Source organism: Homo sapiens, chromosome 9, assembly GCF_000001405.40.
Source record: "Homo sapiens chromosome 9, GRCh38.p14 Primary Assembly".
NCBI lineage: Eukaryota > Metazoa > Chordata > Mammalia > Primates > Hominidae > Homo > Homo sapiens.
Genome location: NC_000009.12, coordinates 131,027,861 through 131,041,492, shown reverse-complemented (window position 1 = coordinate 131,041,492; position 13,632 = coordinate 131,027,861). Strand labels below are relative to the sequence as shown.

At 57.2% G+C, this 13,632-nt stretch overlaps 1 protein-coding gene across 3 annotated transcripts in view; it reads right to left on the bottom strand.

Annotated features, from left to right (window-relative positions):
- Positions 1–13,632, bottom strand: part of LAMC3 (laminin subunit gamma 3) — an 85,300-nt gene that overhangs the window by 52,981 nt on the left and 18,687 nt on the right. For all 3 annotated transcript variants that reach the window (XM_011518121.2, NM_006059.4, XM_006716921.3), the window contains exons 3-6: positions 9,318–9,448; positions 5,161–5,327; positions 2,441–2,629; positions 2,245–2,362 (exon numbers count right to left, since the gene is read on the bottom strand). In XM_011518121.2, coding sequence (XP_011516423.1) covers positions 2,245–2,362; positions 2,441–2,629; positions 5,161–5,327; positions 9,318–9,448 — 605 coding nt within the window. The remainder of the gene's footprint in view (positions 1–2,244; positions 2,363–2,440; positions 2,630–5,160; positions 5,328–9,317; positions 9,449–13,632) is intronic.

The window sequence follows — 13,632 nt, the reverse complement described above, 5'->3', positions numbered from 1 at the left end:
CTTGCCAAGGAAGTGACCCATCCATCACTGGTACAGTGGTCCATCTTCCCACCCACCACACATCCATCCAGGATCCTTCCATCTGTCATCCACGCACTCACTCATCATCCATGAATCTTTTTTTTTGGGACAGAGTCACACTTTGCCACCCAGGCTGGAGCGCAGTGTCATGATCTTGGCTCACTGCAACCTCTGCCTCCTGGGTTCAAGTGATTCTCCTGTCTCAGCCTCCTGAGTAGTTAGGACTACAGGCATGCATCACCATGTCCAGCTAATTTTTGTATTTTTAGTAGAGACAGGGTTTCACCATGTTGGCTAGACTGGTCTTTAACTCGTGACCTCAGGTGATCCACCTGCCTTGGCCTCCCAAAGTGCCAGGATTACATACATGAGCCACCGTGCTCGGCCTCCATGAATCTTTCTGTCTATCCCCTCACTCCTCCATCCACTTATTCATCCTTCCTTCTTTCTGTCCAGCAGCCACCTATCCACCCATTCATTCACCCATCCATGCATCTTTCCATCCCTCCCTCCATCCATCCACTCATCTAATAAGACATGGTTCCTCCCTGGTGAATCCCAGTCTGGTGTAGACAGACAGATCACGCAGACCCTGTACCGCGATACGTGTTGTGGGAGATGTACGAGAGGCTGTGCCTGCACTGTGGGGCCTCTGACTCAGCCTGGGTGTGCAGGCGAGGGGCAGGTGGGAGGGAAGGTGTCCCGAGAGCGGGGCTGCTCAGCTGAGACCTGAAGAATGAGCAGGAGGCTGTGAGCCACAGGCTGGGGAGAGGGGGCAGGGGTGGGAGGTGTGGCACCTGCAAAGGTCCAGAGGACAGAGGGACCCCAGGGAAGCAGCCAGGCCCCATCTCATGGTCAGTTTTATGCCCAGAACCACCAAATATTTTACAAGGAATCAGAGCTCTCCTAGATATCCCCAATGTGTTTCTGCTGCCTCTCAAATATACAAAGATGCCCGTTATCAACCAAAGCAAGTTCACTTAAAAGTGCTTCTGGGCCAGGCGCGGTGACTCACGTCTGTAATCAGCACTTTGGGAAGCCGAGGAGGGTGGATTACTTGAGCCCAGGAGCTTGAGACCAGCTTGGGCAACATGGCAAAACCCCATCTCTACCAAAAAATACAAAAATTAGCCGGGTGTGGTGGTGCACATTTGTAATCTCAGCTACTCAGGAGGCTGAGATGAGAGGATCACTTGAGTCTGGGAGGCGGAGGTTGTAGTGAGTAGAGATCGCGCCACTGCACTTCAGCCTGGGTGACAGAGGAGGACTCCATCTTAAAAAAAAAAATAGAGATAGTGGGCATGGTGGTGCATGCTTGTAATCCCAGCTACTCAGAAGGCTGAGGCAGAGAATTGCTGGAACCGGGGAGGTGGAGGTTGCAGTGAGCCAAGATGGCACCACTGCATTCCAGCCTGGTTGACAAAACAAGAATCTGTCTCAAAAAAAAAAAAAAAAAGCTTCTAAATTTATCATAGGTTTTTGTTTTGTTTTGTTTTTGTTTTTTGGCCATTGTATACTTTCTCAATCAAGTGATGGCAAATGTGTTGGGGTAAGGTCCAGACCCCAGGAGCCCCTGTCCCTCTCTCCCCTCAGCTGTCCCACTAGGTACCAAACTCGGTGCACCCAGATGACACTCAGCCTCTCCCACCCCGCTCCCCACACTGCGTGCCCTGCTATCCAGAGGCCCAGAGAACCCCGAAGGTCAGCCTCCACCTCTTCTTCCTCTTCCACCCCCTGGTCACCATGTCCTATTAGCTCCTCCTTGCACTGGGCTCTGGAATCTGCCCTGCTCTCCCTCTCCACAGTCAAACCCCCATGCAGGCTGCCCAGGCGTTCCTGCTGTAGCCTCCACGCAGCCTCCCCCTCACCCACTCCTGCTTCTCACTGATCCACGGCTCCTCCAGAGGCCTCCCGTGCCCCCCACCCCACCTCAAACACCTGTCCTTCCCCTCTCCCTGCACTTATGCAGCACCTCCTACAGGAAGCCTGCCCTCCACCTGCAAGATCCGCTGAGCTTCCACAGGGCTCAGCCTGGTCTCATTAAGGTCTGTTTTTGTCTCTTGGCCTCTCCAGGAGCTGAGTGTCTCTAGTCTTCACCAGGATTAGGGCGAGGTAGCTGCAGACAGGAAGGGATGGGGAGGGGAGGGACTGCTGACAGCCTGTTCCTCCTGCTTCTTGTCATTCAGTGCAATGTGTCCATACTGGGCCGCCCCTCGCCCTCACCTGCAGCCTCCCTCACTGAGCGAGTGGAACCCGGGCAGACAGCGGTCACACTTCCAGCCAGTCACCGTGGGCTTGCAGGCGCAGGTGCCTGTGTCATCGCACTGGAGGTGTAGGGAGCCTGGGAGAGGAAGGGCACAGGGCAATTGAGGCCAGGAAAGGGAGAGGGTCGGAGGCTGGGGATGTGGAGTCCACTCACCTGCCGACTGGCAGTCACAGGGCTGGCATGGCATCCGCGGGTCCCAGTGATAGAAATTCTCCTGACAGCGCTCACAGTGTGGCCCAGCTGTGTGGTCACGGCAGTGGTGACAGCGCCCGCCGTGGCCTGTGCTGCGGAAGAGCTCCCGATCAAACGTGCATTCCTCGGAGCGGCCACTGCAGTTGCAGGCTATGGGCAGGAGTGGGGAAAGGTGTGTGAGTCCCCTGTGATGTGGTAGGAGGCTGCATCTGTGTCAGTCAGCCTCCCTGTGCTAAATGAGCAGGCAGTGCAAAGAGAAGGGCAAGAGCATGGTCCAGAATGGAGTTCAGGCCCAGCTTGATCAAGGCTAGACATTGATCAATTGATTTTCCAAAACAGGACACTCTTAAGAGCAAAGGGGACACTGTTAGTAAATACACCAAAACAACAGGCAGAAAGAAGACCATCCCAGGCAACAAGGATATACACCCAGATAGATGGGCACCGATCAGAGGCTGGCTGCCTTCTGGAGTGGCAGCTTGGCTCTCTCCAAAATCTCCTGGAGGTCCTCCAAGCCATAATAGTGTGACTCTCACTATTGTGTGAGGTCACTCAGGGGTACAGAAAGCACAAGTCACCTTTCATTTCCCCCATTAAATCATTTTTAAAAGTCTGTGTGCAGGACTGGCTCTGTCTTGGCTCCCAGAGTGAGCTCAGGGGTGGATCCATGAAAGGTGCGGACCCATTTACACCTGCCGCCCTCGTGCTGCCCACAGCCCAGACGGCAAGCAAGCAAACCCCCTGCAGGTGCAGGGCTGAGACAGGAGAGGCTGGGGGCTTTGGGAGCCGAAAGAAGGGGCCCCTGCAGCTGTGCTGGGGTGGTGGGACAAGGCTTCCGAGAGGAAGTCATGGCCGCGCTGAATCTGAAGGCTGAGCAGTGAGGAATAGGCCAGGCAGAGGAAGAGGGGGCGGGAAGGGCGTCGCAGACAGGAGGCGAAAGCCCAGGGGATACCCCACATGCAGAGACAGACGCGTGGCCTGGTGCGGGTGTGCCATGAGGCTGGCTGCAGACGGCATGTCGTGTGATGGCAGGGAAGGAAGGACTTTGTGCAGTGGGGGGCCTGCAGTGCAGGGGCAGTTGTGAAGTCAGAGGCTAGCAGAGCTTGCTCCAGGGAGGCTGGGCTGCCGTGGTCAGTGGACGTTAGCTGGGAGCAAAGGGGGAGCCGTGGGAAGGTTTAAGCAGGGAATAGATGTTACTAAATTTGTCCTTTAGAAAGTCTTGGCCCAGTGCCATGGCTCACGCCTGTGATCCCAGCACTTTGGAAGGTAAGGTAGGAGGACTGCTTGAGCCTAGGAGTGTAAAGACCAGCCTGGGCAACAGTGAGAGCCGAGCTCTATAAAACATTGCTTGGCATGGTGATGTATGTGCCTGTAGTCTCAGCTACTCTAGTGGCTGAGGTAGGAGGAACACGCACCCAGGAATTCGAGGCTGCAGTGAGCTATGATTGGGCCACTGCACTCCAGCCTGGGTGACAGAGTGAGGCCGTGTTTCAAGAAAAGAGCCTTAGCTGCAGTTAGGGGAGGGCTGGGAACAGGGAGAGCAGGGAAGAGGAAGCTTCGGGTGTGCAGGGAGAGGAGGCAGGGCCAGGCCCAAGGCATCGGCTGCAATGGACAGAAGTTAGACAGACTGGAGCGATGTGGATGAGGCGGAATTCAGGGCTCGGGGCTGTCTCAGCTGCGGGTGAGGGTGGGGATGAAGGGTCAAGCCTGAAACCCTGGCTCCCAGGCTGCTGACTGAGAGACAGACGTGACCATGGAGCTGAGGACATGGTAGAAGCAGTCTGGCCTCTGTGTCCCCACCATGGAGACAGCAGCAGGCTGGGACAGTGGAAGCCAGCCAGCACAGCTTCCTTGGCCCCAGGACTCTCTGGTGGAGGCAGGCCAGCGAGGGCAGCTCCTGCAGACAGTGCCCCACCCTCAGAACAAGCCGCCCCCGGCCCAGCCCCAGTTCTGGTCGCCAGTGGCCCAGGCCCAAGAGGACAGCGGGGTCCAGAGGCCAAGCTGCCCGCCCAGCGAGCCTGTGAGTGAAGATGTGTCTCCTGCCAGCAGCACCAGCACCAGCTGGGATCTGGCCCCCAGCAACGGCGGCTGTGCATGGAGAGCCTGGAGGAAACCAGGCTGTCTGGGGACAGGGTGGGGCTTGCAGCCAGTGCCCCAGCCAGAAGGGAAGTCAGTGGGTCCCTGCTCTTGGCCTGTGTCCCTGGAGAAGACATGATGGCATCATCCTCTCTCCAGCGCTTCTCTGAGGTTAGGTGGTCAAAGCCACATCACATGGGGGCTGGGACACCAAAGGGCTGCCTGGGGGCCCGTGGGAGAGGCTGGGTGGGCCATCAGCACCCCCTTGCTTGTTGGGTAGCCTGGTTCCGATTAGCAGCTGGGGTGGGAGCGGTTAACACAAAGAAGCAAGTCGGGGACCTTCCGGCCCTCCCACCACAGGCGCCTCTGCATGGGTAGAGTTGGTCCAGGGAAGCTACTTAGTGGAGGAGAGACTGAGGCTTAAATGCACCCCCTCCCCAGGCTCCCCTTCTGCTCGTCCTTATCTCTGCAGCAGCACAGAGACCCCGAGCTGCCCCCGGGGCGTACCCAGGAGCAGCCCCCACCACGACGTTTTGGGGAGTTCCTTTCCCCGCCTGCAACACCAGCCTCGGGTCCCTGATGCCCTGTGACACTCAGACACTCACGCAGACACTCGTGGGCAGCCTCGGCGGTGCCCCGGGCCCACGGGCGGTCCTGGAAGAAGGGCAGGCAGCGCTCACAGTCTGTGCCGGTGGTGTTGTGCTGGCACCGGCAGGCCAACTGGCCTGCCACGTCGGGGCCGCACTCGCTGGCATGCCCGTTGCACTTGCACCTGGGAAAAGACACAGAGGAGGAAGGGGACCCGCAGGTGCCGGCAGGGCAGACAAGGAGTTAGTCACCAGGTAGCCCCTGTTTGCAGGTGTGAGCCAGACTCCACCCTCAATCTTGGCCCTCACTGAACACCTACTATGTGCCCTGGGGGCAGCAGTAACAGAGAACTGACTGTACTGGTGAGCTCTGGAACAAACCCATTCCATCTTCACCAGCCTGTTACCACCCCCATAGAATGGATGGGTGAACTGAGAGGCACAGAGAAGCTGCCCAAAGCCACCAGCTAGCAAGTGCCTGGCACAGAAAGCTTCTGCCTGGGAGGAGCCCCACCTGGGGGCTGAGAGGGACCCAGGAAGAAGTCACCTTAGTCTCCCAAGTGGAGAGTGGGCCAGCAGTCACACCAGCAATAGGTGTGGAAGGCAAAGGGAACCGCCTCCAGCAGCTATCCCTCAACTGTGTCCGAAAGGGCAGGAAAGAAGGTACCCCAAACAGGGACAGCTCCTGAGTCACTCCAAATCCCCCATGAGTCCACTTCGGATATGGTTTGGATCTGTGTCCCCACCAAATGTGTCAAACTGCAATCCCCAATGTTGGAGGTGGGGCCTGGTGGGAGCTGATTGGATCATCAGGTTGAATTCTCCTGAATGGTTTAGCACCCTCCCCCGTGGTACTGTAGAGTGAGTTCTCATGAGATCTGGTTGTTTAGAAGCGTGTGGCACCCACCCGTCAGCCCCACCCCATCCCCTGCTCTCTTGCTCCTGCTCTGGCCATGTGATGTGCCTGATCCCTCTTCACTTTCCGCCATGATTGTAAGTTTCCTGAGGCCTCCCCAGAAGCCAAGCAGATGCCAGCACCATGATTCCTGTACAGCCTGTGGAACTGTGAGCCAATTAAACCTCTTTTAATAAATTACCATCAGCTGGGCATGGTGGCTCACACCTGTAATCCCAGCACTTTGGGAGGCCAAGGTGGGCGGATCACCTGAGGTCAGGAGTTGGAGACCAGCCTGACCAACATGGAGAAACCCAGTCTCTACTAAAAATACAAAAATAGCCAGGTGTGGCAGCGCATGCCTATAATCCCAGCTACTCAGGAGGCTGAAGCAGGAGAATTGCTTGGACCCAAGAGGCAGAGGTTGCAGTGAGCCGAGATCGTGCCATTGCACTCCAGCCTGGGCAACGAGAGCAAAACTCTGTCTCAAAAATAAATAAATAAATAAATAAATAATCATCTCAGGTGTTTACAGCAGTACAAGAATGGACAAATACGGGGTCTTTGAGAGCAGCCCCGGCCTGTGGCCCCATTCCACACACAGGATCAAGAGACAGGTGGAATCAGGCAGGAACAGGGGTGCCCTGGGAGCCCGCGGCATGCTCGGCAGAGCCTGACCCTGTGAGTGATTGTCCCTGTCCCGACCACTGTCCCTGTCCTGAGCTGCTCAGAGGCCATGGCTTCTGCCCCTGGCCAAGGCAATAGCTTCTCCCTAGAGCCTCACCAGAGGTGGGAGGGACATTAGCGTCCCCATTCCACACATGAGGCATCAGGCTCAGGCCTTGGAACTCACAGATGCTAAGTGGCTGAGCTGGAGCTGAAGCCCGTCCTCATCGACTCCACGTGGACCCTGAGCTCCTGGACACTCCTCTGTGGCCACTCAGTGGCTCCCTTAAGCCACGTTCCACGCTCTGCCCTCTGTGGATGTTGACGAATCACCAACCGCTGTTGCGGCTCCAGGTGCTTTAGCTGATAGCGGACACACTGTGTGGTAGGGCACGTAGCACGGCTTCCACGCAAGGCCCAGTTTAGGCAGGCAGCACCCCAGGGTTTCTTGGGGTGAGGCAGGCGCCAGGCAATCCTGGGGACAGTGGTCACCAGGGAAGTCACAAGGGACTGCCCCTGCCTTGGAGGGGGTGCTGTAAACACCAGCCCTGTGAAGCCCACTGACCCAGGAAAGGAGAGTGAGACTCCACGGGCTCCACTGTGAACACAGGCTGTTGGGGCCACCTGTCCCCTGCCATGAGCAGCCTGCCCCAGCCAGCTGTGGTCTGAGGGTGGTCTGGCTCTGGCAGCTGGAACCCAGATGTCCTCTGGCCCGAAGCCCCCTGACAGGAGGCACTGGAGCTCATGGCCGCCTTCCCCGGGGAGCTCCTCCCACCGACTCACATAAGGGGGCAGGTTGGAGCAGGGGGATCCTCATGGCCACAGGGGCTCTCAGTGACGAGCCTTGGCCTTCTCTGGAGCTCACACACCCAAAGCAGGCATTTGAGCCTCATGCCGCCCCCTTCTCCATCTCTCTAATGCCACCCAAGCGCCTCTGAACTGTGGAGGCCCAGAGTCCAGTGTCATCCCCGCTCCCCACTCCCATGGCCCATGGTTCACACACAGAGCTGCGTTTCCATCCTCAGTCGCGTTCAGACCCACGCGCCCCACACCCCAGCCCTCTGGTCCAAGCTGCCGCCTCCCGCCTCGATTCCTGACATTCGACTTCCTCTCTCCTCCTATCTGCCCCACTTGGCTGTCAGGGGTTTGGGGGTGTTTTAAAAATCTGACTCTGTTACTACCCTGACCAAATCCTTCCACAGCTTCCTCTTGACTTCTGGGTGAGGCTAAACCCGCCCAGGCCCTGACACTCTGCCAACCTCTCCACGCCCACCCGCCTGCCCTCCACCCAGCCACGTTGGCCGTCCCCTAGTCCTCAACCCCAGCCTTCCCACTCTTGGGTCCCATCTGCAGCACCAGCTCCTGTCCTCCCCGACCCCAGGCACACGCTCTCCCTTTCCTCTCCTTCCTTGTCATCCTGGAGCGGGCTGATGTGTTCACTGGGGAGCAATCTGATCAATGTCTGCCATCCCCAGGTGACTGGGGCAGGAACGCACCTGTTTTCCTCTCTCCTTTCAAAGAAACCTGAGAAACACTGACGTGGAAGCTGTTCATGCCTCCCTCGTCCCACAGCCCTCCCTGGGCACCCACTGCCAGGTGGCCATGTGCGAGACAGGCCTTGGGACTTGAGGTGAGAGATGGGCCTCTACCTCCTAGGCAGCCCCTGCTTCCTGGAGGGGACAGATGTTGGAGGAGAAACAAACTGCCCACAGCACTGATGGGTGCTAATGGCGCATAGGACCAGGACCAGGACCAGGACCAGGACCACGGGCCAGAGAGAAGCGCCTTTCTCTAGGCCAGTAACACCCCTATACTAGAAAGGGGAAGGGGGCCGTGGCTCATGCCTGTAATCCCAGCACTTTGGGAGGCCAAGGCGGGCAGATCACCTGAGGCTGGGAGTTCAAGACCAGCCTGACCAACATGGAGAAACCCCATCTCTACTAAAAATACAAAATTAGCCGGGCGTGGTGGCGCATGCCTGTAATCCCAGCTACTTGGGAGGCTGAGACAGGTGAATACCTTGAACCTGGGAGGCAGAGGTTGCAGTGAGCTGAGATTGCACCACTGCACTCCAGCCTGGGCAACAAGAGCGAAACTCCTTCAGAGAGAGAGAGAGCGAGAGAGAGTGAGAGAGAGTGAGTGAGAGCGAGAGAGCAAGAGAGAGTGAGAGAGAGAGAGAGAGAGAGAAAGCGAGTGAGAAAGAGAGCAAGCGAGAGAGAGCAAGAGAGAGAGCGAGAGAGAGCAAGAGAGAGAGACAGCGAGAGAGAGCAAGAGAGAGAGAGCGAGTGAGAGAGAGCGAGAGCGAGAGAAAGAGAGCGAGAGCGAAGGGAGGAAGGGAGGGAGGGAGGGAGGAAGGAAGGAACCTCCAGGCTGAGGGGACAATGGGAACCAAGACCCAGTGTCTGGCACATGGCAAATCAGCTGATGCAGGGGACCCGGCAGGAGGTGGGCTGGGTGTGGACCCCCAGGGCCTCGAATGGCAGGTGCTCCCTCCCTCTCCCCTGGGGCACACCTGGCTTCTGTGCCCCCCCACCCCCCACCCCACAGCAGCCACCTTCCGCTCTCGGGTTTGGGTCCTGGAGCCCTGCCACCCTGCCTCCCTCCTCCCTCCTACCTGCCGCCCACAGAGAAGTCGGACACGGCATAATAGTAGGACTGGAGCACCTTGGGGTCCTTGAAGATGTCGTCCCCAAACGTGTTGAGCCGGTCTAGAGAGATGAGGAGTTCGGTGCTGGTGACCCACTCCTGGGGCAGAGGGGAGAGGGTGCCATCAGCAGGTTCCTGAGTATTTAGTATTTACCCCCATCGCTCTGCTGGCAGATCCAGCTGGCTGCCCCGGGAGCTCCTGGGACACAGGAACAGGCCGAGCTCAGGCCAATTCTGAGAACACTGCAGAAATAAGGAGGCTGTGCTTTGGGGGTCACCCCAACCTGGGTGCTAGGCTACTGATTAGTGCAACTGCATTCAGTGTCTTAGAGCCTCCATTTTCCCATCTGTGAATTGGAACAAAAATAGCACCTCCCCTACAAACATGTCTGGGGGAGGGTAGCAAGTATCAGTGCTGGCTGTGAGGTCGGGCCCGTGGTCAGGAAGCAGCTGAGGTTTGGGCGGGCAGGGGTCAAAGCAGCCCACTGAAGACCCGGTTGTGCAGGTCACCTGGCTTTTCCCAGCAGCTCCTGCACCTCATTCCAGGGATACAGCTGGGGGACGGTGTGCCCCCGCAACCTTCTCCCCTGCTCAGTGGGGCCTGGCATGCAGCTGGCCCCGGGTTTCTTGGCTCCTCACATGCTGAGGGTCAGGCTCCTGTGGACAGGTCACCTGCCTCAGGTGACATCTCTTCCACGAGAGCAGGGACTTGTGGCCCCTTGTTCTCACTGTTTCCCTGGCCCTGGGCTCTGCCTGGCCCTAGCAGGCACTCGATAAATACCTGCTGATCCCTGAATGAGCAGCTTCCCCATGGAAGAGCGTGGAGGGGAAGTCGGGGAAAACCCACGTGAAGACTGACATTTTCACCTGCCTGCTGTGAGCAGCAGCAGCAGCTCCAGCTGAATATTAATCAGCGTTTTGATTCCGCCCAGGAGCCCCTGCTTTAGCAATCAGGCCCATCAGTGCAGAAAATGAGCTCCTGGCAGGCCATCTTTTTGCCCCAGCGTGACTCAGGCCGACGGCCCTCCTGCTCCCCGAGAGCTCGGCAACCGGAGCTACTGCCGGGGACCCAGGGCCTCTGCCAGAGGATGCCTTGGCCAGGGAGAGGGGTCCAGCACCCAAACACTAAAGTGGGAGCCTCTGCACCAAGCTAAGCTTGTGCTTGAGTTTGCAGGCCTGGATCACCCCAGGATGCACTTCCCAAAGCTCAGCGTGCATTCAGGGATCTGGTTAAAGTGCAGCTTCTGATTCAGGGGTCAGCGGTGGAGCTGGGGAGCTTGCGTTTCTCACAAGTGCCCAGGTACTGATGCTGCTGGGCCGGCTACTGGACAAGGAGCTGAGGCCTGGGGTGGGGAAGTCCCGCAGTCCAGAGCTGAACGCGCTGTGGCGATTCCTTCTCCAGAAAAAAGTGCCACCTGGAGAACTCAAACCAACTGGATACCAGAGCCAGGAGGTGCGGCGGCTACTGACACATATTGTATGGTTAGGGCTCGGGCCTCACGGTAACCCTGAAGTAGGTATTGTTATTAACCCCATTTAAAGATGAGGAGACTGAAGCTCAGAGAGGGTAACCCTTCTGTTCCAAGTTGCACAGCCAGTGCATGGCAGAGCTGGGATTCTGGTCTATCTGATCCCAGGGTCCCAGCTTTAACCACGAGGCTGGTCTGCCTTCCTGTGTCTATCCCAAAGCCCTTATCATGCCAGTGGGGCCCAGAGACAGCAATGACCTGCCCAAGGTCTCCCACCTCTGCTTCCTGGCCTGTGACCTGATCCATCAGTCTGCAAGGACAATGACCACAAAGGAATGGGGTCAAAATCTCTGAGACATAGGATGGATGCTGGGAGAGAGCAGCCTTAGCCTCAATTGCAGGGGGACTGTCTTGATGCCTTAAAAGTCATTTTAGGGCCTGGTGTGATGGCTCACACTTGTAATGCCAGCACTTTGGGAGGCCAAGGCGGGCAGATCCCTTGAGACCAGGAGTTCAAGACCAGCCTGGACAACATGGCAAAACCCCATCTCTACTAAAAATACAAAAATTAGCCAGTGTGGTGGCACACACCTGCAATCCCAGCTACTTGGGAGGCTGAGGCAAGAGAATTGCTTGAACCTGGGAGGCAGAGGTTGCGGTGAGCCAAGATCGTGCCACTGCACTCCAGCCTGGGCGACAGAGCGAAACTGTCTCAAAAAAAAAAAAAAAAAGTCATTTTAGGGCAATCCCCACTGAACCCAGGCACTGGAACTCCAGCTTAAGCTATGAGTGGGTGCTGGAGTTGATTTTAGATGGATCCCAGGACTCAGGCCATGGCATTAAGGAGAAGCAGGAGGTGGACAGCTTGGGCTCTATGTCCAAGGGGTGCTCAGGCGGCCCCTCAACTCTGGCGGTCTTACTCTGCAACAGCCAGGTCGACCTTCTCCTCCAAAGTCCTAGGCCCTTCCTTGGGGGTCAGAGGGACCCAAGACCCAGCAGCCACATCCTTCCTTCCAAGCTCTGTGTCCTCTGAGAAAGCACCTGCCCCCTAAATGTGTCCAGAGGGAGCATGAGGAGAAAAGAGCAAGGTAGACTTGCCTCTCTTTGTCCTGCTCTGCTCTTGGTTTCTGTCCAGAAGCAGCAGGGGAGATATTTCTCAAAAGGTCATCTCTCCATCAGGGACAGTGTCCAGAACACAAGAGGCAACAAGACAGAAAACCTCCAACAGCCAAGGGTGTCCCCACGGTGGTGGCTGCACAGACGCAGGTGGGAGCGGGGGCCGGCCCTCCCTGCCTGTCTTCATCTGACCTCGGGTGACGTTTTCTAATCTACAGAGCTTTGGAGCCCCGTGGAGAAGAAATTGTAATTTTTAAATAAAATCATGGTGACATGTACAATTTTAGTGGGACAAGCAGGGCCTGGACGTCTAGAGATGTGGTACTGTGTGATAAAGGATTCGGCTTGCCCAAAGAGGGGCCTGGCCCTTTGCCCTGGATCCAGGGGAGTGACCTCCATATCCTTGGATGTCCCTCCTGATAAGAGGGTCTTCCCTTGGGCCACACTAGGTAGTCTATGCGGATGATGTGATTTGCGGTGGGGGCCTCGGGCCACACAGAATCGGCTTCACCTCTGGAGGGGCTGGAGACAGGTCAGCCACACAGGTGGTCAGCCGTGTCTACACTGCCAGCCTCCAGTAAAAACCCTGGACTTCAGGCCAGGTGTGGTGGCTCACACATTTAAGCCCAGCACTTTGGGAGGCTGAGGTGGGAGGATCGCTTGAGCCCAGGAGTAAGAGACCAGCTTGGGCAGCATAGTGAGACGAGGTCTCTATTTAAGAAAAAAAAATTATTAAAAAACTCTGGCCTTCAAAGTTGGCAGTACTCTACGCACACTGTCACATGTGGCTCTGGGGAAATATGTGCTGTGCGTGTGACTCCACTGCATTGGGAGAACAGCTGGAAGCTCAGAGCCTGGTTGGTCCCTTCTGTGACCTGGCCGGGCGCCTCTCCACTGGCTGATGTGAGCCGGTAGCCTTTCATTGCAAAAAATTGCAGCTCTGAGCCTCACAGCTTTTCTGAGTTCCGTGAGTCCTTATAGCGAACCACTAAACCCAAGGGTGGTCCTGGGGACCCCGACACGGCCGGCTCCGTGTGTTCTCATGCTGCACATCGCTGACAGAACGCAACTTCTTTTTGGGTGTCAGTGTCCCCTCTGGAAACAGGATTCTAACCCTGGTTCCCTCATTATCCCAGATGGGCAAAGGAGACGCTCTGAAAGTCTGGAGGGGAGGAGAGGGCAGGTTCCCTGGGTTTGGACACGTCTTGGGTCTGAACCCGGGGAAATGGACTAGAGCAGCGGTACTCCAACCTTTTCGGCACCAGGAAGAGGTTTCGTGGAAGACGATTTTTCCACGAACGGGGTAGGCGGTGGTTTGGGATGAAACTGTTCCACCTCAGACCATCAGGCACTAGATTCTCAGGAGGACACGCAACCCAGTTGCTCCTGGGAGAATCTGATGCCGCAGCTGATCTGACAGGAGGCTGATCTGACAGGAGGCTGATCTGACAGGAGGCGGAGCTCAGGCAGGAAAGCTCACCTGCCCGCGCTCATCTCCTGCTGTGTGACTTGGTTCCTAACAGGCCATGGACCAGTACCGGTCTGCAGCCGGGGGTTGGGGACCTGTGGACTGGAGAGCCACCCAACACACTTGTGTGGAGATGAACAGCTATGGACACACAGCAACGTGGACACAGATAGGTGCCGATCCCGGCAGGTCCGCACACCTGGGTGGACCTACGTGGGCTGAACTGGAGG